The sequence below is a fragment of the Homo sapiens genome, chromosome 15, assembly GCF_000001405.40.
Source record: "Homo sapiens chromosome 15, GRCh38.p14 Primary Assembly".
NCBI classification, from domain to species: domain Eukaryota; kingdom Metazoa; phylum Chordata; class Mammalia; order Primates; family Hominidae; genus Homo; species Homo sapiens.
In genome coordinates this window covers 51,903,166-51,927,714 of record NC_000015.10, presented here as the reverse complement: position 1 = coordinate 51,927,714, position 24,549 = coordinate 51,903,166, and the positions used below count along the sequence as shown (strand labels likewise).

General features: G+C 41.7%; 1 protein-coding gene, 1 long non-coding RNA gene and 2 pseudogenes across 5 annotated transcripts in view, besides 1 other annotated feature; 1 reads left to right on the top strand and 3 right to left on the bottom strand.

Annotated features, from left to right (window-relative positions):
* The window catches only part of LOC112268148 (uncharacterized), a 28,155-nt gene extending 19,581 nt beyond the window's left edge, over window positions 1-8,574 (bottom strand). For 2 of the 3 annotated variants that reach the window (XR_002957717.2, XR_007064636.1), the window contains exon 1: window positions 3,137-3,297. This is a non-coding gene — a long non-coding RNA (uncharacterized LOC112268148). Of the gene's footprint in view, window positions 1-3,136; window positions 3,298-6,098 lie in introns of those variants that run through there. The other variant, XR_007064635.1, reaches the window with a different exon arrangement.
* LOC100422556 (LEO1 homolog, Paf1/RNA polymerase II complex component pseudogene) lies at window positions 3,595-8,752 on the top strand (annotated as a pseudogene). The gene is made up of 3 exons (NR_109775.1): window positions 3,595-3,675; window positions 4,807-4,999; window positions 8,572-8,752. The product of NR_109775.1 is annotated as an LEO1 homolog, Paf1/RNA polymerase II complex component pseudogene (transcript).
* Window positions 8,753-11,989: 3,237 nt separating this feature from the next.
* The window catches only part of TMOD3 (tropomodulin 3), an 86,073-nt gene continuing 73,513 nt past the window's right edge, over window positions 11,990-24,549 (bottom strand). Inside the window, exon 10 of the mRNA NM_014547.5 lies at window positions 11,990-18,939. Coding sequence (NP_055362.1) covers window positions 18,905-18,939 — 35 coding nt within the window. The 3' untranslated portion in view covers window positions 11,990-18,904. The remainder of the gene's footprint in view (window positions 18,940-24,549) is intronic.
* Window positions 19,188-19,357: an enhancer, noted in NCBI's record as "experimental_39679 CRE fragment used in MPRA reporter constructs". NCBI's record gives its function as "activates a minimal promoter by MPRAs in K562 erythroleukemia cells, with activity observed for both the introgressed and non-introgressed 15:52200640 variant alleles {active_cell/tissue: K562}" and the evidence as "EXISTENCE:reporter gene assay evidence [ECO:0000049][PMID:34662402]".
* On the bottom strand, window positions 20,410-20,515 carry RNU6-90P (RNA, U6 small nuclear 90, pseudogene; annotated as a pseudogene).

Sequence of the window (24,549 nt, the reverse complement as noted above, 5' to 3'; positions counted from 1 at the left end):
TCCTTTAAAACAATTTTTTTTTTTAAATTTAAAACTTTTGTGTGTTTTTTTTTGTTTTTGTTTTTGTTTTTGAGATGGGCCTCGCTGTTTTGCCCAGAACGGTCTCAAACTCCTGGGCTCAAGTGATCTTCCCACCTCAGCCTCCTGAGTAGCTGGGACTACAAGTGCACACCACCACACCTGGCTACAGGATTTCCTAAGAGTTTCTACCAGGGGCCCCAGTGGTATCATTGGGCAGGGGAAATTGTTGTTGTTGTTGTTACTTTTGTGACTTGGAGTTCACCATATGGGTAGAATAAATTTAGACTCAAAAACAGGGCAAAGCACCGATCTCATGTTTTAATTTTTTGTTAATTAGTTGTTTATTCTTTTTAAAAAATTGTAATTTCATGCCCAGAGCTTCCCTGTCTCACTAGGTGAATGGGGGCACTTTTTAGCCCTTCTTTCATTGGGTTCATCTTCAAGTGGCCCTGCCATAGGCAGAGGTCTCATTTTAAACTCTCTGCCTCATGTGGACCCTAAGCCTCATGCTCTCTCCTTTGGAGTTCTTCATGTGTTTTGTTTGATAACACCTCTGGCCTGCGTCCTACTTAGCTCCTGCTTCCACTGCTATGAACTGGAGCTCAGAAAAGATTTAAAGAAAATGTCTGGTTAGTTTAACCAACATCTCTAGGTATTTGTAGCAGGTAGGTTTCAGTTTTGCTGAATCAGTTAGTTTTTGTAAGCTTCTTCTATCATTACCTATCAAGTCTTTACACATGATTATAAATCACTTGAAGAAAGAAGAACATTTAGTTAGCTAAACTGGTTTAACTAACCAATGCCTCTGGGTTTTTAACCAGGTAGAAAATACTATAAGATGGAGGATACGCCGGGATAAAGAAGGAAATAAAATTAAAGAAAGCAATGCTCGGATGGTCAAGTGGTCAGACAGAAGGTGAGCATAAAATGCCTGAAAAATACTGACATACCAAGAGGGAGGCCTGGGATGAGTGAGGTTTTCTTTGTAGAAACTTCTTTTGGGGTCATTTTCTTTTCTTCTTTTTTTTTTTTGAGACAGACTCTTGCTCTGTCAGGCTGGAGTGCTAGAGTGCAGTGGTGCAATCTTGGCTCACTGCAACCTCCGTCTCCTGGGCTCAAGCAATTATTCTGCCTCAGCCTCATGAGTAGCTGGGATTACAGGCATGTGCCACCATGCCCAACTAATTTTTGTATTTTCAGTAGAGACAGGGTTTCACCATGTTGGCTATGCTGGTCTCAAACTCCTAACCTCAGGTGATCCGCCTTCCTCGGCCTCCCAAAGTGCTGGGATTACAGGAGTGAGCCACTGCGCCCAGCCTGGGGTCATTTTCACTAAAGGATTTACAAAAATCTAGGTCTCTGGAATTACCTAGGAAACCTGAGAGAAGTAAATAGGGTGGAGGTCTTATAGCTGTGCTGGTGGAGACTTCAGAAATGAACTGAAGATGTGACAAAAGCCATTGTGTCTACCTTACTGATGTGAAAGACTAAAGGTAGCTCCCATTGGTGAGATATCAGACATGACAAATTGATATTTTTGAAAACTTGTTTCTGCTTTGCTAATGAAGTGGTAGAGATTTATAAAATTACAAAACAATTATATTTCAAGTTAAAAAGAGGATAGATTTTTACCACTTTTTACTCTGGAAGGAGACAGGTTATTTACAGCATCTTTTCTGCTTTTCCTATGAATTCAGTATGAGGTCAGGATCTAGCAGTTCCACACTATTTTAAGCAAAGCTCACAGGGCAGAATGGAAGCCATAGGACTCATTAAATATCCACCCTAATATTTGAACTATTTCTCATTTCCAGCATGTCCCTGCATTTAGGCAATGAAGTGTTTGATGTGTACAAAGCCCCGCTGCTGGGCAATTACATCCACCTGTTTATAAGAGAAGACACTGGTCTACAGGGACAAGCCGTCTTTAAATCCAAACTTACCTTTAGGTAACTATTACACCGACACGATTACTTGCATTTAAGGAGCAACAAAGTAGAGATAGGACAACTCACCCCTGGACCATGGTCTGGTTCTCATACACCTTTTTCAAGTTTACTCCAAGCTGCTATTTGTCAGGGAGCCAGTTCATCCTATCAGAATTCCCAGGAGAGTGATTATAGCCCAGAATGTAGGTATGTTAATCCACATTGATCAGTATACTTGGTAAGAAGCCTGCAGGATTTGTCCTTGCAACTCTGCTGCTCAGCAGGTCCTTTCCCTGGAGTGAAATTGACCTGGGAAGCTAGGCCATCATCAGAATGGTGTTGGTGTGTGCCGGCAACAGACCCGGCAGGCTGGGCTCTCCACTCACCTGAGGCTGCTGCAGCCTGTGCCTAAGCAGTCAGATACTGGGGCCAGCTAAGCTCAGTGTTGTGGCCCCTTCTCCATGCCTTCCCTCTGAAGGACACAGTACTGTTGATTAGGAGTAGGGTTTCCTCCAGAGGTGGAGTACTTAAAAGACAAGCACTCTTTTGGGGGACGTGGAAGTTTTCTAAAATCAGATAGGGGTCATGGTTGTAAAACTGTTTAGTTGTATACTTAAACGAATGGATGTTATAGTATGTAAATCATATTCAGTAAATCTGTTGGTCTTTTTATAGACTATAAATAAGGACAGCTCTGAGGTTATGTAATCTTGAGGAAGGGTTGCAATCACACTAATTTCCACCTTCCTTATCTATAAAATTGCAATAACAACATCTACTGCACACGGATGTTGTATCAATGAATTCAAATAACACACAGAACATCAAACAGAGACCTGGCACAAGTGGTGAGTGGTGCTCAATCCAGTCTCTTAATCATCTCTCCTAGAATAGCATCCTAAAAGACGTGTGATTCTGAGCTTGCTTTTTTTCACTGTCCCCTGTGCTCCACACTGCGATAATATTTGACTGCCTGGCACCATCTCATTCTGGACGTCCCGTCTCTTTATAGCCATGCTCTCTCTTCCAGAGACTCCCCTAAGGATCATTCTCCTCCCCTCTGATATACGTAATTAAAAGCTGCCTTCCTATAGTCAGGAAGACATTTCTTTCCGCCCCAGGACTCCTGGTCTAGCTGTATTATCCCCCTGGGCTGTTATAAGGCCCCTGCTGCTACTGTGACCTACCTCCTTGCTTTGACTTCCAATTTTTTCCAGATGAAGAGACTCATTGTTAGTTCTCTAATTGTCCCTTCTGGCATCTGCATCTCTCTCTGGAAACTGAGATTTCATATTCCTTCTCTTCTCCTCTCTCTGACTGCAATCGGGGATATTCTTTGTAAAAGACTGACGTTGCCACCTGCCTCTCCTCACTTCCACTGCACTCCCACTTTAGCCCAGTCAGCTTTCCCCAGGAGGTGGGGCAGAGGGAGGAGCTTCTCAGGAGGCTGGAGAAGGAAGAACTGTGATCCTGCCTCCTCTGTCTGCTGAGTGTGAGGTCCTCGTCCCCGGGTGTTTTTGCTGTCAGTATGCTTGCCTCCAAATGTTCTTAGTAACCAGTGAGACATTTTTGTCCACTTCCTGGCAGACCTCACTCTAGAGACAGTGCCACATACAGAAAGATGACCCTGCCACTTGCTAATAGAAGTTCAAAGACACAGAAAATTAGAATCTTACCAATGGCGGGTCGTGATCCTGAAGGCCAACACACACAAGTGATGAAGAAGGTATGTTTGCTAAGCTTTATCCTGGGACATTTGGGGTAGTAAGACCTATGTTTTCCAGAACATTAATTCACCATTTCTTATTGCCACTGCTGTTTTATTTCTTGCAGTTATTAGGGAACCAGCTTAACCTTCTAAGTGTGTAGTTAACCACAGTAATGTCAATGGCTGCTGGTGAGACTACCAAACAAAGGACTCTGAAATCTAGAAAACTGATGATTTTAAAAAAGTAACCTTTCACAAACATACATTGTGAACCCCAATGTGTGAAATGCCAGGCAGATTTTAAAAAATGAAGTCTACCTTGTGGCTCAAGAACTGTCCCCTAGTAAGGCCTCCCCATTCTCTCACTGGAGCTATGGGGAGCTCTGGGTTGAGGGGTCAGGACAGGAATATCTGGGAGCCATGGGAGTTTGGTGGAGCCTGGGCAGGTCAGGTGGTTGTGGCTCAGGGATGAACAGAAACAGCCTCTGCTGCTCCAGGAGGTCAATTCGGGTGGGATGCTTCTCTCTGGGCCAAGTGGCAGCACAAAACAGCAGCATAGCTCTGGAGGACAGGCCTGTGCCAACAGAACACCAGCAAGGTTCTGAAGGACAGGCCTGTGCCAATGCCAATTGAGCCGGTTAGTGTCAGGGCACCCTTCTGCTGCTTCTTTTTGAGATGGAGTCTCGCTCTGTTGCCCAGGCTGGACTACAGTGGCATGATCCTGGCTCACTGCAACCTCTGCCTCCCAAGTTCAAGTGATTCTCCTGCCTCAGCCGCCCAAGTAGCTGAGGACTACAGGCATGCGCCACCACCTCCATCTAATTTTTGCATTTTTTGGTGGAGACGGGGTTTTGCCATGTTGCCCAGGCTGGTCTCGAACTCCTGACCTCAAGAGATCTGCCCGCCTTGGCCTCCCAGAGTGCTGGGATTACAGGCGTGAACCACACCTGGCCCCTTCTGCCTCTTCACCCTTGCATTGCCTTCACACCTGCAAACCAATGGATCCACGTGGAGTAACAGAGGTGTGATGGGGAAGATGGTACCCCAAAGACACATGGGACAGCTGTTATGTGTTCTTTATGGTAAAAGTAGATGCAAGAGGGCACAAGTTTCTGTTTTAGGCTGAAGAGGTTATTTGCTTTTTTACAGAAAGAAGAACGCTTGAGGGCTTCCACTCAACGGGAGTCTCAGGGAATCCATCTGCGGGAGAAGCGCTACCAGGAGTGGCCAAGTGTCTCCTACCAGGACCCTGGCAGTGACAGTGCAGAGGAGGAAGGCAAGCACACCTTCAGCCTGGCTGCTATTAAAAACTATTATCAAGGTGAACTCCAAAGTGAGTCAGGTATGGAGGTCACATTTCATCATTTCAGGGTGGCAGTGCCTGCTTTTGCTCTGGCGAGCTCTTAGTCCTTGTCCTACTATTTACTGAGGACAAAAGTACGAAGGCCTTTTTGTTTTTCTTAGGGCTACTCCCCCACAGAAAAGATTAGCTGTGAAAATATGGCATCTGGCCGGGCACAGTGGCTCACGCCTGTAATCCCAGCACTTTGGGAGGCCGAGGCAGGCGGATCACCTGAGGTCAGGAACTCAAGACCAGCCTGGCCAACATGGTGAAACCCCGTCTCTACTAAAAACAAAAAAATTAGCCAGGCATGGTGGTGGACCCCTGTAAACCCAGCTACTCGGGAGGCTGAGACAGGAGAATCGCTTGTACCCAGGAGGTGGAGGTTGCAGTGGGCCAAGATTGCACCACTGCACTCCAACCTGGGCAACAAGAGCAAACTTTGTCTCAAAAAAACAAAGAAAGAAAAAGAAAAAGGAAAACATGGCATCCTCCAAATAAAATCAGTTAAACAATTTATGTCCTTGTGGAGGGAAATGTATATAAGGCAGTTCCTCTGCTTGTATAAAGACCCAATATTTAAGCTTCACAGTTCTTAAAATTGATGTGTGCGTATTTAAAAGTGATCAAATAACCTCTCTGAGAACAAAATCTCTCAAATCTAGTCATTTCAGCATGTCTGAAAGTTCTATTTACCTTCCCGCTGAAACTTTTAAAGAAAGTTGACTCCTTCAGGAAAAATGTACAGTAGGAAGTAACAATATTTGGCAGAAGAAACATTGAGAAATAAACCATCTTTGAAGGTGAATCCCATGTCTAAAATTCCTTTGCTTTCAGAGGAACAAGCCAGCATCTATTCCTCAGACACTGATGAGGGGTCAGAAGATAAGACTCAAAGATTAGTGAGAGCAAAAAAACTCAGTAATGATGAAGTAAGACCAAATGTATTCAATTCTGAGTTTACCCTGTACTCAGGAGCCAACTGCTGGGAACAGAGCTCACAGACCAGGCATGCACAAATTAGCTGTCTACACACTTGACTGAAATCCAGTGAGATAAATGCAGCAGTAGGACTAGGAGTGGCCCAAAGGTCTGATACCTGTACTCAGGTGGGTCTTGGAAGGCTGCATGGAGGAGGAAGTCTCTGCTGGGTATTGAAGAATGAGCAGAAGCTTACAAGCACACAGGCCAGGTTAGGCACTCTAGGAAGATGGAAAGGCCTGTAAAGAAAGGTGCAGGGCCTGAGATATCAAGTCTCGGCTACAGAACTACGAATTGCTTCATATGGGTAGAGCAAGAGGTGATCTACCATGTTCATTGTGGGAAACTGGGTGTCTTTTAAAATTTATTTATTTTTTTTGAGATGGAGTCTCACTCTGTCACCCAGGGTGGAGTACAGTGGCACAATCTCGGCTCACTGCAACCTCCACCTCCCAGGTTCATGTGATTCTCCTGCCTCAGCCTCCCAAGTAGCTGGGATTACAGGCGCCTGCCACCAAGGCTGGCTAATTTTGGTATTTTTTAGTAGCAATGGGGTTTCACCATGTTGGCCAGGCTGGTCTCAAACTCCTGACCTCAAGTGATCCTCCCGCCTCAGCCTCCCAAAGTTCTGGGATTACAGGCATGAGACACCACTACGCCCAGCCTTTAATTTTATTTTATTTTTAAGACAGGGTCTTGCTCTGTTGCCCAGGCTGGAATGCAGTGGCATGATCATGGCTGACTGCAGCCTCGATCTCATGGGTTCAAGTGATCCTCCTGCCAAAGCCTTCTGAGTAGCTGTAACGACAGGCATGCACCACCATGCTTGGCTAATTTTTAAAATGGTTTGTAGAGATAGGGGTCTCACTACGTTGCTCAGGCTGGTCTTGAACTCCTGGCCTCTAGCAATCCGTCCACCTTGGCCTCCCAAAGTGCTGGAATTACAGGCGTGAGCTATGGTGCCTGGCTTAAAACTGGGTGTCTTTATTTCAATGTAATAGTTGAGGGGTTATCTCATTTGTTATGAAAATATTTTCCTTTAATTGTTTTCTCTTCCTTTTATAAGATCACAAGTACAAATACATTTTATGTCTTTTATTTATTGATTTTATTTTGAGACAGTCTTGCTATGTTGCCCAGGCTAGAGTCAGTGGCACAGTCTTGGCTCACTGCAACCTCCACCTCCCAGGTTCAAGCAATTCTTGTGCCTCAGCCACTTGAGTAACTGAAATTACAGGCATGCACCGCCATGCCCGGCTAATTTTTTTTTTTTTTTTTTTTTTTTGTATCTTTAGAAGAGATGGGGTTTTGCCATGTTGGCCAGGCTGGTCTCAAACTCCTGGGCCTCAAGTGATCTGCCTGTCTCGGCCTCCCAAAGTGTGGGGATTACAGGCGTGAGCCACCGTGCCTGGCCTTAAGTATTAATTATATAAGAGAATCACTATGGTATTGCCCATTGGCCATATTAATTCATTCAATGTTTTCTGAACACATGCTGTGTTCTAGGTTCTGGAGATACAGACAGGAAAAACACTGCAGTGACAACATTGGTCACTGTGTTTTCATTTATTTTTTCCTCTCTCTACACAACACACAGTTGTCCCTCAGTATCCATGGTAGATTGGTTCCAGGACTCAGAGGACACCAAAATCCACAAGTGCTCAAGTTGCTTATATAAGATAGTTTAACATTTGCATATAAGCTATGCTTTAAATCATCTGTAGGCTGGGTGCTTTGGGAGCCCAGCACTTTGGGAGGCTGAGGCGGGCGGATCGTTTGAGCCCAGCCTGAGACCAAGATTAGACCCCCAGCTATACAACAACAACAACAACAACAACAAAAATAAAATAAAATAAAATAAAATAAAAAATTAGCTGAGCACAGGTAGTCCCAGCTACTTAGGAAGCTTAGGCAGGAGGATCAATGGAACCTAGGAGGTCGAGGCTGCAGTGAGCCGTCATCATGCCACTGCGTTCCAGCATGGGCAACAGAGCAAGACCCTGTCTGAAAACAAAAAATTTTCTCTAGATTACTTATAATACAATATAAATGCTATGTAGGCCGGGTGCAGTGGTTCATGCCTGTAATCCCAGCACTTTGGGAGGCTGAGGCGGGCGGATCACCTGAGGTCAGGAGTTCGAGACCAGCCTGGCCAACATGGTGAAAACCCATCTCTACTAAAAATACAAAAATTAGCCGGGCATGGTGGTGCATGCCTAGAATCCCAGCTATTTGGGAGGCTGAGGCAGGAGAACTGCTCGAACCCAGGACATGGAGGTTGCAGTGAGCCGAGGTTGCAGTGAGCCGAGATCGCGCCACTGCACTCCAATCTGGGAAATGAGCAAAACTCTGTCTCAAAAAAAAAAAAAAGTAAGTGTCCCTTCAGCCCTGACCACTGCCCAGGGGAAACCTAGGTTCAGTTGCCTGATCTAGGCAGTGTCTGTGGGGACACACATTGGCTACCAAGGGTGGAGAAACTGGGCTCTAACGTGAAGGGCTGGCTCGTCACTGTCAGGTCAGAACCATTTTAGATAAAATTTCCAGAAACATTTTATATTGAATTTTATGTCTTACCTCTCATATTTATTCAGGTAAACCTTCCAGAAAGAGGAAAGCAGAGCATGAAGAGGAAGAAGATGATATAAAGCCCTAAAATGTGCACTCATTGTATTCAATAGTTTGTTTTAAAACAATTATGAAATGACTTGTTTTAACTGAAGTTGAGTTGCTTTTGCATAATCCTAGTTGTGAATAAAAAGTTTTCAAAAGCAAGTCCACGATGTTAGAAAATTCATTTTTTCCCAAAGAGGAGGATTTTGTTAACTGTTTACTGTGAGTGGATCTTAGGTTTTAGTGCATTCCTGCTGTTAAGTTTGGCTCAGTTGTGGCCTCCTCCAGGATGTCCTCTGGCCTGCCTAGCTGGGTTTGGGGCCTTTCTGTGCTCTGTAGTCCCCTTAGTATGGCATTAATTCCATTTCCCATATGGCACTGTGCTCTTGGAAGAGCAGGTACAGCAGGGAGAGCTCACTGGATACCTGGTACTTAACCAGAGCTGTGTGGGCCTGACCACTTCTAATCCTTAGGGCAGGTGCTGTTATACCCCTTTTATAGATGTGGAAGCTGAGGTTTAAAGAGCTTAAGCCCTCTGTACAAAGCTTTTACTTAAGTAAACAAGTAAGCTTTTCTGAGACAAGGGTTAGGATCTTCCATGCACAGTGATCACAATGCTGGGCTAATACTTTAGTGACCTTATGGAGACAGATACCCAAAATATCTACCTGAGATAAACAGGCACCATTAGGTTTAGGGAAAAGGGCAATGGGAAACAAAATACCGGACTTGATTTCTAGTTTTGTGATTGCTACAATAGCTGGAATATAATAGAACCTAAAAACTATTTACTGAATGAACAAACAAATGCTGTTATGTTGGGCAGTCCCTTCTCTGACATCAGTTTCTTGAACTAGGTGGGCTTTAGATTTGACCACACAAATCCTTCAATTCAATGTTTATATTTCTCTACCTCTGAGAGTTGAATACTAGATAAATATTTTAAAATGTTTTGTTAAGTAGAAATGATCAAAGGGGAAAAAAAAGCCCATTTCACCATGCCGAAAACCCCACTTTACAATTCTATTTCCTTCCCTTTTATACTTTTACAGCATAATTTCGTGCTTGTATATTAAACACATTCATAATTAGCACTAGCTTCTAAAGGAGAATTGAAAGACTCATTCAGAACAATGAAGGGTACTAGCACAACTTAATTGTAACATCAGGTATTCTTTCTAAGGGGCTGGCCTTGAGGATCTGGTATGTCTGTGAACAGCACAGGAGCTGGGGGACTGGGTTGGGATCTACAAGCCCTCAACCTTTGCAGACCATGCAGGAAAGCTTAAAGTTGAAGGAAAAAAATGTTTGGAAATTTTGGACTCACAAATTTTCAAGCCACTCCCACTATTTGGTACCTATAAGAGCAGTGGTAGCACCAGGCTGAGCATTTTTAGTTGGACTGCTTTGGAGGACATGGTGAGGGCGCTGTTGCCTCACAGCCAGTCCCTGGCACTCAAGTCCTCTTGAACTCAGGGGAACAGCTCACAATTCAAGCACCTGAATCTCCCTGACTCACCAAAGGGAATATGCATTGAGGCTTCCTGTACATGAATGTGAAGCTCAACAGCCATTCTCAGAAGGCAGAACGACATTAAAGATTCCAGGTCAATTTCTTTATTCCCCTAAGTCAGGAAAACTCTGAAAACTTTAAATTATTTAACCTTTATCCTTAAGTTTCCTCAAACCCATTACACATTTCCCTGGTTTTCTCTTTTTTTTTTTTGAGACGGAGTCTCACCCTGTCACCTAGGCTGGAAGTACAGTGGCGCGATCTCAGCTCACTGCAACCTCTGCCTCCTGGGCTCAAGCGATTCTCCTGTCTCAGCCTCCTGAGTAGCTGGAATTATGGACACCCGCCAATGCACCTAATTTTTGTAGTTTTAGTAGAGACGGGGTTTCGCCATGTTGGCCAGGCTGGTCTTGAACTCCTGACCTCAGGTGATCCGCCCACCTTGGCCTCCCAAAGTGTTGGGATTACAGGTGTGAGCCTCTGAGCCCAGCCTTTTTTTTTTTTTTTTTTTTTTTTTTTTGAGAAGGAGTCTTGCTCTGTTGCCCAGGCTGGAGCACAGTGGTGATCTCAGTTCATTGTAGCCTCTGCCTCCCGGGTTCAAGCGATTCTCCTGCCTCAGCCTCCTGAGTACCTGGGATTACAGGCGTGTGCCATCACACCCGGCTAATTTTTGTATTTTTATTAGAGATGGGGTTTTGCCATGTTGGCCAGGCTAGTCTCAAATTCCTGACCTCAGGTGATCTGCCCACCTCAACCTACCAAAATGCTGTGATTACAGGTGTGAGCCATCATGCCTGACCTGGTTTTCTCTTTTGATTCATGGATATAGGTGATTGATAAGAGATGTCTTTGCTTTACTGTAAAAGCCATCTCTAGTTTATTAGAAGGACTGGTTCCCATCAGGTTCAGAGTGTACTGTATCACAGGACCCTGCTCTTTTCTTTTCTTTTTTTTTTTTTTTAAGACAGAGTCTCACTCTATTGCCCAGGCTGGAGTGCAGTGGCGCGATTTCAGCTCATTGCAACCTTCACCTCCTGGGTTCAAGTTATTCTCCTGCCTCAACCTCCTGAGTAGCTGGGACTACAGGCATGCACCACCATGCCTGCCTAATTTTTGTATTTTTAGTAGAGACAGAGTTTCACCATGTTGGCCAGGCTGGTCTTGAACTCCTCACCTCAGGTGATCCGCCTGCCTCGGCCTCCCAAAGTGCTGGGATTACAGGCGTGAGCCACCGCACCTGTCCGACCCTGCTCTTTGCGTATTTGTCAACTCAATTCAATTTTATGAACAGACAGGACCTAGTACTGATGATATTAGGTTGAACCTTAGGAAATTACTATTTTTATGAGTAAAAGTGTTCAACTATTATAACTAATTTTATATGATTCAACTTAATATGGTGGTATTTAGCCAGGTCAGATTGTCCTAACAAGATACCATAGACTGGGTGGCTTAAATAACAGAAATTTATTGCTTACGTTCCTAGAGGCTGGGACGTCCGAGATCATGGTTTGGTTCCTGGTGAGGGTTCCCTTCCTGGCTTGCAGACAGCTGCTGTTTTGCTGTATCTTCACATGATGGAGAGAGTCTCCTGTCTCTTTGTATAAGAACACAAATGCCATCATAAGGGGACCAACCTTGTGACCCTATCTAGCCTTAATTACCTTCCAAAGGCCCCATCTCCAAATACCATCACATTGGAGGTTAGGGCTTCAACATGTGAATTTGGGGTGGGGGGGCGGGTGTGGATACAAACATTCAGTCCATAACAGGTAGGACTGAATAACTCAGGGAAACTGATAAACTTTTTCTTGAAGAAGGATGTAAGGAATGAATTTTAGAACTTAGGAACTAAAGGGATTATGTGCTTTTTCAAAAAGTCCAAGTTTACAGAATATTTGATAAACTTTATTGAAACGATTTATCCCAGTATATATTGGTAAGTTCTAAATGCTTCCAGTACATAGTCTTCAAAAGAAACTTCACTGTGCTGTTATGAATTTGGATAATATTTTGTATTATTTAAATACCAGTGTTAAAATTCATTGCTTTTATACTTATAAAAATGGAAAAATAGGGCAATTACAATGTTGGATATTTTAGCATTAGAAAAAAACGTAAATACCTGATTTCATGTGACAATGAATGACATTCAAATGATTGTTAGAAAGGTAATTTTCAAGCTTTTAAATGTAACTAAAACCAAATATAATAATTCATCCAAAAAACTGAAAAAAAGACATTTGAAATTACAAAAATTTTTATGTTATACGTGTATATACATTTGAAAAAACAATTCTTAAATGGATTGATCTGAAAATTTGAAACCACTGAATCAAAAGCTTATCTTTCTGAGTAGAGGTGAAATTTAAACTTCTAAAAACTGCTATATACACCCACCAAGAAGCACCAATAATTCATTCTTAAACCTTACTTTCTGAATGTATAGACTATAATATTTGAAACATTTTAGGCCAATTAATTGCTTTGCATCAATTAAAACATACTGAGTGTAGAAAAGGGAGTAAAACCTCATATATATAGATTCTAAGAGGTGTCTGTCTTACGAATGTAATAATTTGGGCTGGGCGCGGTGGCAAACACCTGTAATCCCAGCACTTTGGGAGGCCGAGGCGGGTGGATTACGAGGTCAGGAGTTCGAGACCAGCCTGGCCAAGATGGTGAAACTCCGTCTCTACTGAAAATACAAAAATTAGTCAGGCGTGGTGGCGGGCACCTGTAGTCCCAGCTACCCAGGAGGCTGAGGCAGGAAAATCATCTGAACCCAGGAGGCGGAGGTTGCAGTGAGCTGAGATCGCACCATTGCGCTCCAGCCTGGGCGACAAGAGTGAACCTCCATCTTAAAAAAAAAAAAGAACTTAATAATTTGTTACAGCTATGTTAGCAAAACACTGCTGGTGGTATTTCTTAATACATATATTTTTTTGAGATGGAGTCTCACTCTGTCACCCAGGCTGGAGTGCAATGGCACAATCTCGGCTCACTGCAACTTCTGCCTCCCAGGTTCAAGTGATTCTCCTGCCTTAGGCTCCCAAGTAGCTAGAATTACAGGTGCGCATCACCACGCCCAACTAATTTTTTGTATTTTTAGTAGAGATGGGGTTTCACCATGTTGGCCAGACTGGTCTCGTACTCCTGACCTCAAGTGATCCGCCCACCTCAGCCTCCACAGTGCTGGGATTACAAGTGTGAGCCACTGCACCCGGCCATTACAATCTATTTTTATCTAGCCTCTAGAGCAGGTGTCCTAAGTAAAAGACAAAAACAACAACAAAAAAACCCATTTTTTTGTTTTGTTTTGTTTTTTGAGACAGTCTCACTCTTGTTACCCAGGCTGGAATGCAGTGGCATGATCAAAGCTCACTGCTGCTTCAACCTCCCAGGCTCAAGCAATTCTCCCACTTTAGACTCCTAAGTAGCTGGTACTATAGGTGTCTGGCTAATTTTTAAATTTTTTGTAAAGATGGGGTCTTGCTATGTTGTCCATGGTAGTCTCAAACTCCTGGTCTCAAGTAATCCTCCCTGCTTGGTCTCCCAAAGTACTATGAGTATAGCTCTTTTTTTTTTTTTTTTTTTGAGATAAGAGTTTCACTCTCATTGCCCAGGCTAGAGTACAGCAGCATGATCTCATCTTACTGCAACCTCCACCTCCTAGGCTCAAGCGGTTCTGCTGCCTCAGTCTTCCGAGTAGATGGGACTACAGGCATGCGCCACCGCACCCAGCTAATTTTTGTACTTTTTGTAGATATGGGGTTTCACCATGTTACGCAGGTTGGTCTCAAACTCCTGAGCTCAAGTGATCCGTCGGCCTCGGCTTTCCAAAGTGCTAGGATTACAGGCATAAGCCACAGTACTTGGCCAAAATTCTTTATGTGTTAATGAAGGCTTTCCAAAATACTTAGTTATGGCTTAAAATAGTTTACTTAGCCATGTCTTTTTTCTAGGTTGACCTTTCTGAATGATCAGACTGCAAGATAGAGTTTAAAATTAATAAAATATGTTTTATTATCAAATTTCTAATTCATTCATTTTTTATAGGGAAGAACTTATAGAACTGAATTATAGTGGAGAAAAATCAATACAGGTTGAGTATCCCTTATCCAACATGCTGGGACCATTAAGTGTTTCAGATTTCAAATTATTTTGGATTTTGGAATACTGGGCATTACACCAGTTCAGCATCCCTAATCTGAAAATCTGAAATTCTAAATGCTCCAATAAGCATTTCCTTTGAACACTATGTTAGTACTCAAAAAGTTTTCAATTAGGGATGTTCAATCTGTAGATCTAAGAATGACCAAATTAAAATATAAGAATAAGGCTGAGTGTGGTGGCTCAAGCCTGTAATCCCAGCACTTTGGGAGGCCGAGGCGAGTGGATCACCTGAGGTCACTTTGAGAACAGCCCGGCCAACATGGTGAAACCCCGTCTCTATTAAAAATACAAAAAGTTATCCGGGCGTGGTGGCGGACGCCTGTAATCCCAGCTACTTGGGAGGCTGAGGCAGGAGAATCACTTGAATCTGGGAGGTGGAAGCTGCAGTGAGCTGAGATCGCACCACTGCACTCCAGCCTGGATGACAGAGTGAGACTTGGTCTCAAAAAAGAATATAAAAATCTTTGCCTCTGAATACTATTTTCTCAATTTAAAAATAATTAGTGAAGCGTTTCTTTGATTTGTTGGTAAGCAAATCTTAGGGTAAGAAATATCCAGAAACATTAATGATCAGTGAGAGCTGATGGAGAGGATAATTTTACAGATACTTAGACCCCAAGAACTCATAGCCCTTAACTGAGAGCAGCAACCCGAGTTGTCTCTAGTGCATCCATATGTTTGCTTCTCTTGGGTGACATGGGTCAATACGTTCAAAGTGCAGTAACACTGTAGAATGAGTAAATTTGGGCAGTACTAAACTTGCAAAGAATGGAAGTGACTAAGGACTCCAGAGAAAGCATGATCCTTGCATCTGCTGGGAGGTTAACAGTGGTTCCTAGTTTTTTAGGGAAAAAGTGAGGCAGCCCTGGGAACACAGACCCTAAAATGTAAGATTTTATAAAACTTCATAAATGTTGTCATCTTATTTTAATGACAGCAAGAGTTAAATATAACGTACAATATGATATGAGTAACATTTTATAAAAAAAAAAAAATTTTTTTTTTTTTGAGACGGAGTTTCACTCTTGTTGCCCATGCTGGAGTGCAATGGCGCGACCTCAGCTAACTGCAACCTCCGCCTCCCGAGTTCTAGTGATTCTCCTGCCTCAGCCTCCCGAGTAGCTGAGATCACAGGTGTGTGCCACCACGCCTGGCTAATTTTGTATTTTTAGTAGAGACAGGGTTTCTCCATGTTGGTCAGGCTGGTCTCGAACTCCTGACCTCAGGTGATCCGCCCACCTCGGCCTCCCAAAGTGCTAGGATTACAGGCGTGAGCCACCGCACCCGGCCCAAAACATTTTTTAAAATAATTTTTATTATGTCATGGAATCCTCTTTTTAAACAAAAACACAACAGATACTCGGTCAACTGGAAAACAATTTATAGAATTCTATTTACATGTAACTTCTCCAGAGCGAATATCTTATACAAAGCAAGGATGTGGGTTATTTCAATCAAATAACATGAAGTCGCAATTAAATGACCAAGCTAACTCTCCTTGAAGTCTCTAACCATCTGCTAATTTATTTAATACAAAATGCTTATTTGGTCTTTTAAATGACAGGCAACTTTGAAAGTGTATTTCACCTATTCTTGAGAATTCTACTAGGCTTTAGCTACAAGAATATAGCACCAAAATCCATTTTAATAGTATTAATATTTGCCACTAATATTGAGTTTTTAATACATACAATTTCATGTAGGAATACTGGAAAAATTCAGACAAATATGAGTATAACATTTTATAAAATGGGTAATAAAAAGCTTTTTTAAAAATAGCAATTTAAAAACACAAAGAATATTCTTTTAAATAACCACATAAGCTGGTTAGACTACAAAACCTAAGGTCTCAGAAAACCTTTGGCTTAAAAATTAAGACTATTGCAAAACCCTAATCTATTTATTATAAAATTTTAGAGCAATTTAGAAATACTGAAAGTTACTAAGAGGTGCCAGATTTTTAAAGATTGAAGTAAACCCGATTTTTCTCCCTTATAATTTTGGAAAGATTTTGTAAATTCAATTGGATGAATGTTCATATTTAATGTCACTTATGAAGAAATCATTTCTTTCAGTTATACAATGAACTACTATAATGCAGAATTGAAATGGTACAAGCAAAATACTCAACTTCATACTTTGATAAATAATATATGAAAAAGATATTACCCATAAGTATGATGCAAAATTTTAGGTAGAGTCCCACTTACCTATATTAAAAACAAAAACAAAAACAAAACTTAAGGGATGAAGGGGGAACTATTTATCAACTAATTGACTTACAGGACAATGCAAACGAGGATGCCTGACTGAAAGTCTAGGTGACCAATTCTTTCTGGTAGCCTGAGATGCCTGCTCCATGCCTGACTCCCAATCTTGCTGGAACTGTGCAGTCTCTATAAAATCAAGTACAATCAAAAAGCTGCATATGCGGGGAAAAAAAAAGAGAGGAGAAGAGAGGGAGGGAGAGAAATAGGTAAATAGAGAAGGTAGGAAGGGAGAGGGATGGAGGCAAGGGAGGCAAGAAAGCAAGCAAGTGAGCCTTGCTAACTTAGAAAAATATCAGTGGCCTTTAACTGACAGGGAATAGTGCAAAGTTAACCTTTGGCCCCTATAAAACATTGGATACTGATTTAAAAAACAAAACAAAACAAAACCAAAAAACCAAAACAAACCAAAACAAAAAAAAAAAAAGAGAAACACCACAGTTCTTATGAGGGAAGCTTAGCCTGTTAAGAAGGCTTATTACCATAGCACACAAGAAGCTGCCTTGCTTATTAGATAAACTGTCCAGCCCAAGCCAAAGTAGCAGACATATTGCAATTCAATTTCAAAAAGTTTGTTTGTTTGTTTGTTTTTTGAGACAGAGTCTTGCTTTGTCACCCAGACTGCAGTGCAGTGGTACGATCTCAGCTCACTGCAATCTCCATCTCCCAGGTTCAAGCAATTCTCCTGCCTCAGCCTCCTGAGTAGCTGGGATTACAGGTGTGCACCACCACACCCGGCTACTTTTTTGATTTTTAGTAGAGACAGGGTTTCACCATGTTGGCCAGGCTGGTCTTGAACTCCTGACCTTAAGTGATCCACCCACTTTGGCTTCCCAAAAGTGCTGGGATTACAGGCGTGAGCCACTGCGCCCGGCCCAAAAAGTTTAAAAAAAATTAATAATGATTAGCCACCTTGCCTTCCTCAGAAATGAGACTTTTCCCTCCAGAAAAATCTCTGTAAATGATACAGCCAGGCCTGAATTTTGAGGCCAGGGCTACCTCAGATTCCATTCCTCCCTGTTTTCTGCAGCTGTAAATGCCTCTGCCATCTCCTGCTCCAGGGGCTGCCCTGAGACAGAACATGAATACAAGTCCAGACCCTCTACCCAGCATCAGCTCTGCAGTCTCAAATCAGTCTCCCGACCACAGTACTCTATTCAATTGTTCACCTTAATACTTTGAGCAAGAAAGACTGCTTTTATTATAGAAATGACTTTTATAAATATTGATAAAAGTATAAGATGAAAGGAAGCATATACTAAAAATTAGATTTATGAAGAATAGCAGTTTTCCTTCTTGGTTGGAAGATTTGTAGCAGTGATTAAATACTGTTTATGCAATTCTGCACTGCACATAGGAACTTCTTCGGATATGGTGTAACACCAAGTAATTTACATACATGCCAGCTTCCAACTGACTTACAGTAACCATCAGTTTAAATGACTGTTTTGCAAGTGCCTCATACTGGAAATCTATCATATTTATTATCTTTGATTTCATTGTTTAACAGTTTTCTTTTTTCTCTTACCCTAAATAACTAAGAGTTGGCTGTACGCCTTTTTTGGGGGGTGGGGAGGGAGGTGGTGAAAACAGCTTTTATTTTTTACTATTAGCTTCCACAAAAATTTAATAATGCCCACATTATTAAAATGAAACACTGGAATGAACTTCGACCTCACTATACTTTTAAATAAAGTATGTAACCTGGCAAAGCTGATGACTTTGTTTTAAGAAGACCTGGGTGTTGCTACGTCACATCAGACAAGTGCAGTAACCTGGAATGCACAGACGACCACCCTCTCTCCCTGGAGACCTGCTTTAGCTCCTACACAGATGACTAGATTTTGAGTTAACTGTTTTAACATTCTGGCATTTTGTTCTCTTGATAAAGAAAAATCACACCCTTGCCAAGTTCATGTATTTTAAAAAATGGAAAACTCTCCAGGTCACGGAGTGAAGAAAACACTTAAGTGTTTTATGTCTAAATGAAGCAATAACAATTCTGATACCAGCAACATCCCTTTTGATTTAAAAAAGATTGGTCCTCACAATGTTCAAATTATTCTACACAAATGACCTGTGAAATTTTTTACAGTTGTATTTTTTTGCCCAAGATTCATCATAAATCATTCAATTAAACTAAATTAAAATTGATTTTAGCAGAAAGTAGAAATGTTTCAGAATATAAAATATCACATTACTGATTTTACAATTTGATAACAACTAAAAAAAAAATGCATGTCACTAAAAAAATTTTTCCAGTCTTTTCCCTTCTACCCAGGAAAATTTTACATGATGTCACCAACATGAGCCCTTGGTGATCTTCTGAAGTCTTCCAAAGATTACACCTTTGCAGACTTACTGGTGATCTCCTTCAACTCGTCTCTTACGCACTATGAGAAAAATAAAAGAAACTATGTTAGAAATCCCTATTAGTTTTTACAATGGTAACTTGCTTATAACAAGCAAGTTTCTGCATAATCCAGTTATAAGTTTTACAAAATTGAAATGTCCATTTCCAGTTCACATGACCACTAATTAAAAAAAAAAAAAAAACAACCTACTTCCCATCATTCACCACTGTCATTTACTTGTTGAGAACCAAGGGGCTTCAACAAAAGAATTACATGCCCTAAGCTCAATGACTCATAGCTGTGCTTACACAGCAGCAGCACTAGAAATCTAAAACAGAATGGTCAGCAATCATCTACAAGTCATTTGTTTTTGTTTATTTTTAACTTTGTAATTTATTAATAAAACAGACATTAGGTCTCACTATCTTGCCTAGGCTGGTCTTGGACTCCTGAGCTCAAGTGATCTGCCCGCCTCAGCATCCCAAAGTGCTGGGATTACAGGTGTGAGCCACTGCGTCCAGCCCAAGTCATTTGTTTACTGAAAAAGTACATACTCAGGTTTTAAAAAACAGCTAATAAATTAGTGTGTTAAATTTTGAAGTGACATTCAGGCAGCTGGGGTTAGAACATATTAAAAGTAACTATTTGCATGCTCTCCTGATTAGACACTACAATGTATTTCCTTAGGCTGTAAAAGAATATACCAAAAACATTTTTGTCATTTTTATAGGTAAGTGATTTGCTACTGCTTTCTGAATTTTCCTTCTTTTGTCTCCTGTAATATAAACCAGTTCAGGGTCTGATAAAACAACAAATGCAAAGTAATGAAAATCTCAGACCCTGGTAATATGGTGTGGTCACTTCCGGCTACCATAAACTTTGGCTGCCTAAGTGGCCAGTCAACTAGCTCAGCTTTTACAGCAAAGAACGGTACATGTATGTATCTGAGACTACCAGCCTCTTCCTGGACTGGTGATGTCAAACTACTCAGGGGTGTTCTCTAGTAGCAGAACAAGGTCTTCAACTTCAGATCTTGCTACCTGCGCTCTCACCTATCAGCCACTAGAGAGCATTCACTGAGGGCCACCAATTCAGGGCTATCAGCATTGTGGCCGGCTCCTAGAGAGGACAAAAACCACAGGTTCCAGAGTTGATGACAAATAGAGTGAATCATGGCTCTGTCACTTCTGTAGTGTGTACTTTGGCCTAAATTGGCTGTTTGACAGAGGAACTAGAAGCCAACAGGTACACCTGGTGTCCTGGCCAGGCCATAGACACTCTGCTCTTGTGCTCTTCTGACTGCTGACTTCTGTTTGTCGGCCTTTAATAGATAAGACCATACGTTCAGATGACGTATATAAAATCTTGTTCAGCCATAGGCTGGGTGCTTGCTTGAAAATAAAACCAGAAGGACTAAAGTATCAGGTTCCCACGAACATTTTTATAACTATCTAATTAAGTTCGCCTGACTCTTAAGTTTATTTTATTTATTTTTTGCCAGAACTCAATAAAAATAGGGATTGCTTCATGAATGTCTGTGTCATCCTTGCAAGGGGCCATGCTCATCTTCTCTGTATCATTCCAATTTTAGTGTATGTGCTGTCAAAGCAAGCAACCGACTCTAATTTTAATCCATGCTAACAAAGACAAGTTTCATGTGTTCACTGAAGTATTAAGAAAAAAAATTAAATGGAGACTTGAGCCCTCAAATATCAAATCATGTATATAGATCTCTGAAAAATATAGAAATGTCTGAAAGGCAAACTTCAGATAATTCTTTTTTTTTTTTTTTTTGAGACGGAGTTTCGCTCTTGTTGCCCAGGCTGGAGTGCAATGGCGCGATCTCGGCTCACCGCAACCTCTACCACCCAGGTTCAAGCAATTCTCCTGCCTCAGCCTCCCGAGTAGCTGGGATTACAGGCATGCAACACCACACCTGGCTAATTTTGTACTTTTTAAAGTAGAGACGGGGTTTCTCCATGTTGAGGCTGGTCTCGAACTCCTGACCTCAGGTGATCCGCCTGCCTCAGCCTCCCAAAGTGCTGGGATTACAGGCGTGAGCCACTGCGCCCAGCCCAGATAATTCTTTAGGGTAGAACATTTCAACGAAAATTTTGAATTGCAGCAGGGTTTGGATGTTACTGGCATACCACTTCAGATGCTATAATGCATGTTATAGAAAAGATCTACAGGACAGAGTGCAGCAAACAAAAAAGGTCTAGAAAATGGAATATGCAGTTAACTAGTGTAAAGATAGTAATGTGAGACTCAAAGGTAAATAGAATATTGCATGTATACCATAGAACCTCTTTGCTGTTACAGCTGTGACACTTCTTAGCTGGAGAGATGGAGAGCAGGTAGAATTATTTCAATGAATAGCTGAGACTAAGAAAACAATGAGAGAGGGAACGATGTTATCAAAATCAGAACTCAAAGATCTGATAAAGCCCCATCTACAAGGTGAAAAAGAACTATATGCCCAGGAGATTCTGTACAAGTTTCAAGTCTTGTTCTTTGATTATCTCTTTTGAGTTAGTACATATCAGGCTGCTGAGACCAATATGTCAGAAAACATGGTCTTCAGGCTTTTCAATCTTTATCTATTAGGCAGAGGTCAGAGTATACAGCTGAAAAAAAGTTAAGCTGAGCAGAAGAATGAGAGGTTGCTGCCGCTGTGTGCACAACAGAGGACAATGGGGCAACGGGCCATTTCTGACCCCTCTTTCTCACCTGGTGCTCACTTGTTACCTTCCAGCAATTCCTCAGCTCATCCTCTAGATGGCAGGCTTATAAATTTTGCCCTATTAACAATTCTTTGGATCTGGTCCAATTTCTTTTTTTTTTTTTTTTTTTTTTTTTTTTTTGAGACGGAGTCTCGCTCTGTTGCCCAGGCCGGACTGCGGACTGCAGTGGCGCAATCTCGGCTCACTGCAAGCTCCGCTTCCCGGGTTCACGCCATTCTCCTGCCTCAGCCTCCCGAGTAGCTGGGACTACAGGCGCCCGCCACCGCGCCCAGCTAATTTTTTGTATTTTTAGTAGAGACGGGGTTTCACCTTGTTACCAAAACACACTCCACTGATATAAGTTGTCAATACGCCACCATTAGTTAATTGCGAATGTCCTAACTAACTTCATTTTCTAACTCTAATAGAGCAATAAGAGCAGTTTTTGTTTTTGAAGTATCTTAATCATGTATTCGGTGGCCTCTAATGGCTCTCTAATGCCTTCTGCATAAAATCCAAATAAATCAAAGTTCTTTAACCATGTAATTTCAGTGTATTCTACCAACACTCCCTCTTAAATTTATTTATATCACTTTTTTTTTTTTTAGACAAAGTCTCACTCTGTAGCCCAGGCTGGAGTACAGTGGTGCAATCTCGGCTCACTGCAACCTCCGCCTTCTGGGTTCAACCAATTCTCATGCCTCACCCTCCCGAGTAGCTAGGATTACAGGTACCTGCCACCACACCTGGCTAATTTTTGTATTTTTAGTTTCACCATGTTGGCCAGGCTGGTCTCAAACTCCTGACCTCAGGTGATCCACCCACCTTGGTCTCTCAAAGTGCTTGGATTACAGGCGTGAGCCACTGCACCCGGCCTCAATCTGCTGATACCACTTTTTAAATGTTAGCTTTAAACAACAAGTACTCATTGAAAGTTTATTCAGGAGCCAGCATCATGATATGAGTCAGTTCTTAAAATCCACAGGCTGCCATCAGCATATAAATAACTTGCTTGCTCTCAAATTTGAGCTTTTATCTGTAATTGCCCTATCCAGGAATGTGCTTATTGTCATTTCATGCATGAGACCCACGTTTGAAAATCTAGTTTGGATCAGAATGAAACAGTGTAACTGGGAGTCTAGAGAGTTCCCGGAACAAAGCTGCTTGCTTTCTCTCGCTTCTGCTTTGGGTCAGAACACAGCTTCTTCAACATGGTCTTCTCTTCCTCTATCACACACCACTGTGCACGGCTATTCAATTGCTCAGAGACAACATAAAGCAGCCTAGGAAGTGGTTTTCATTTGCACCCCCCACACCCCATCTTGCATTTGCCCAAATCTCCCTCACTCTAACACTGGACATTTCTTTTCTTACAGAAATGCAGGCAAAGTGTCTACCAAAACAGTCTTCACAAAAAAGCACAACTGCTGAAGCCTTGCAAAGGTCAGCGCCCCTGCCGTGACGTTTATAGACATTCACTGTACAGCTCCTGGAGGGACAGCTGCTGGAATCACCTGCCTCCTGGAGGGAGGTAAGTAACAGAGCTGGTTGGGGCTTGTTAAGGTAGTTTCCAAGGAGAGGAAAAATGGAGGATACTTCTGGCTTAGTTTATGGCTATTCAGGTACCAGAAAATTATAACTTTGAGAGAGTTCAAATTCTACCACTTATTTATTCACTTAATCCAGTTTTCTTAAGTACCTATTGTGTGTCAGGCATGGTTTTAAAAGAGTTGGGATTCAATAGTCGGACATGGCCCCTGCCAACAACATAGTCCCTGCCCTCAAAAAGCATATAGTCTTTGGAAGTAAGACTACTACATATAATTAGTTTTCTGAGTAAAAGGCAATTTAAAAAATGGGACAAATGCTGTGATAAGTAGAGGACATATGGGGCACACCTGCTTAAGATGTATAACAATGATGAACTCAGAAACTCAAATATCCACTCAATACTGGAGAAACAAGCCAGGGTTTCTGAGTGTGAAATGCCTACAACCCAAATCCCATCACAGACTAAATCAGAACTTCTAAGGAAACTCGCTCTGTCACTTTTCTGTAGTGTGTTTTTTGGCAAGTTAGTTAACTTCTTTGAGCCTCAGCTTATCCTGCATAACAGGAGAACAACAGTATCTGTAGCTCGTGGCTGTGTAGCGCACTAATGAGAACATAGTAAACATTCAATAGAGCACTTGGCTTCATTATCTATCAAAGTAGGGTTATGTGATGGTCGTGAGGCTCTGGTCAACCATCTTTTTGGGGTGAAGAAAGCCATTTTAAGCCAATAATCTATGTGTTTTTAAAGCTTTCCAATTATTTATGAAGTCCAGCTAGAACTTCTTTATGAAGTTCTCTTAAAACGCTACTCTAAGAAGCCAAATTAAACGCCTGAAGGAAAAAATAGAAGCTAACTAGTGAAGCAATACTAAAACAATTAGCATGACTTTGCAAACTACATTTGGAATCAACAATACACCAAAACACACCAATTTTCTATTTTCAAAAGCAAGCAGCTAACATCTCTTCTGGGAAACCACAGTCATAAAAAGGACAGAAAGAGTTTGAGCTAATATTTTCCACGTGATCTGGATTAAAGAAATGAAGTGCTATTTTTTCCTGCTCCAGAAACTTTTACAGAATGGGAACTCAAATATGGCTGAAGCTTAAGAGAATGGCAACACGTTGAAATGTCACTCCTTTTGAGAAGTCTTGTTTTACTTCTTGTCTAAGATGCATCTTTAAAAATACTTCAATGGCAAACATCCTAATTTAAAAGAGTCAACTTTTGGAAACATGTAGAAATAAAATTCTAAGTACCATATTCTTTAATTCAGCCTTGGCTGGAAAGTCTATTTCAAACAGAAGCCACAAGCCTCAAGCAATTAAATAGGAACCATAGGAGAATGAGAGATTACTGACCTAGATGTAT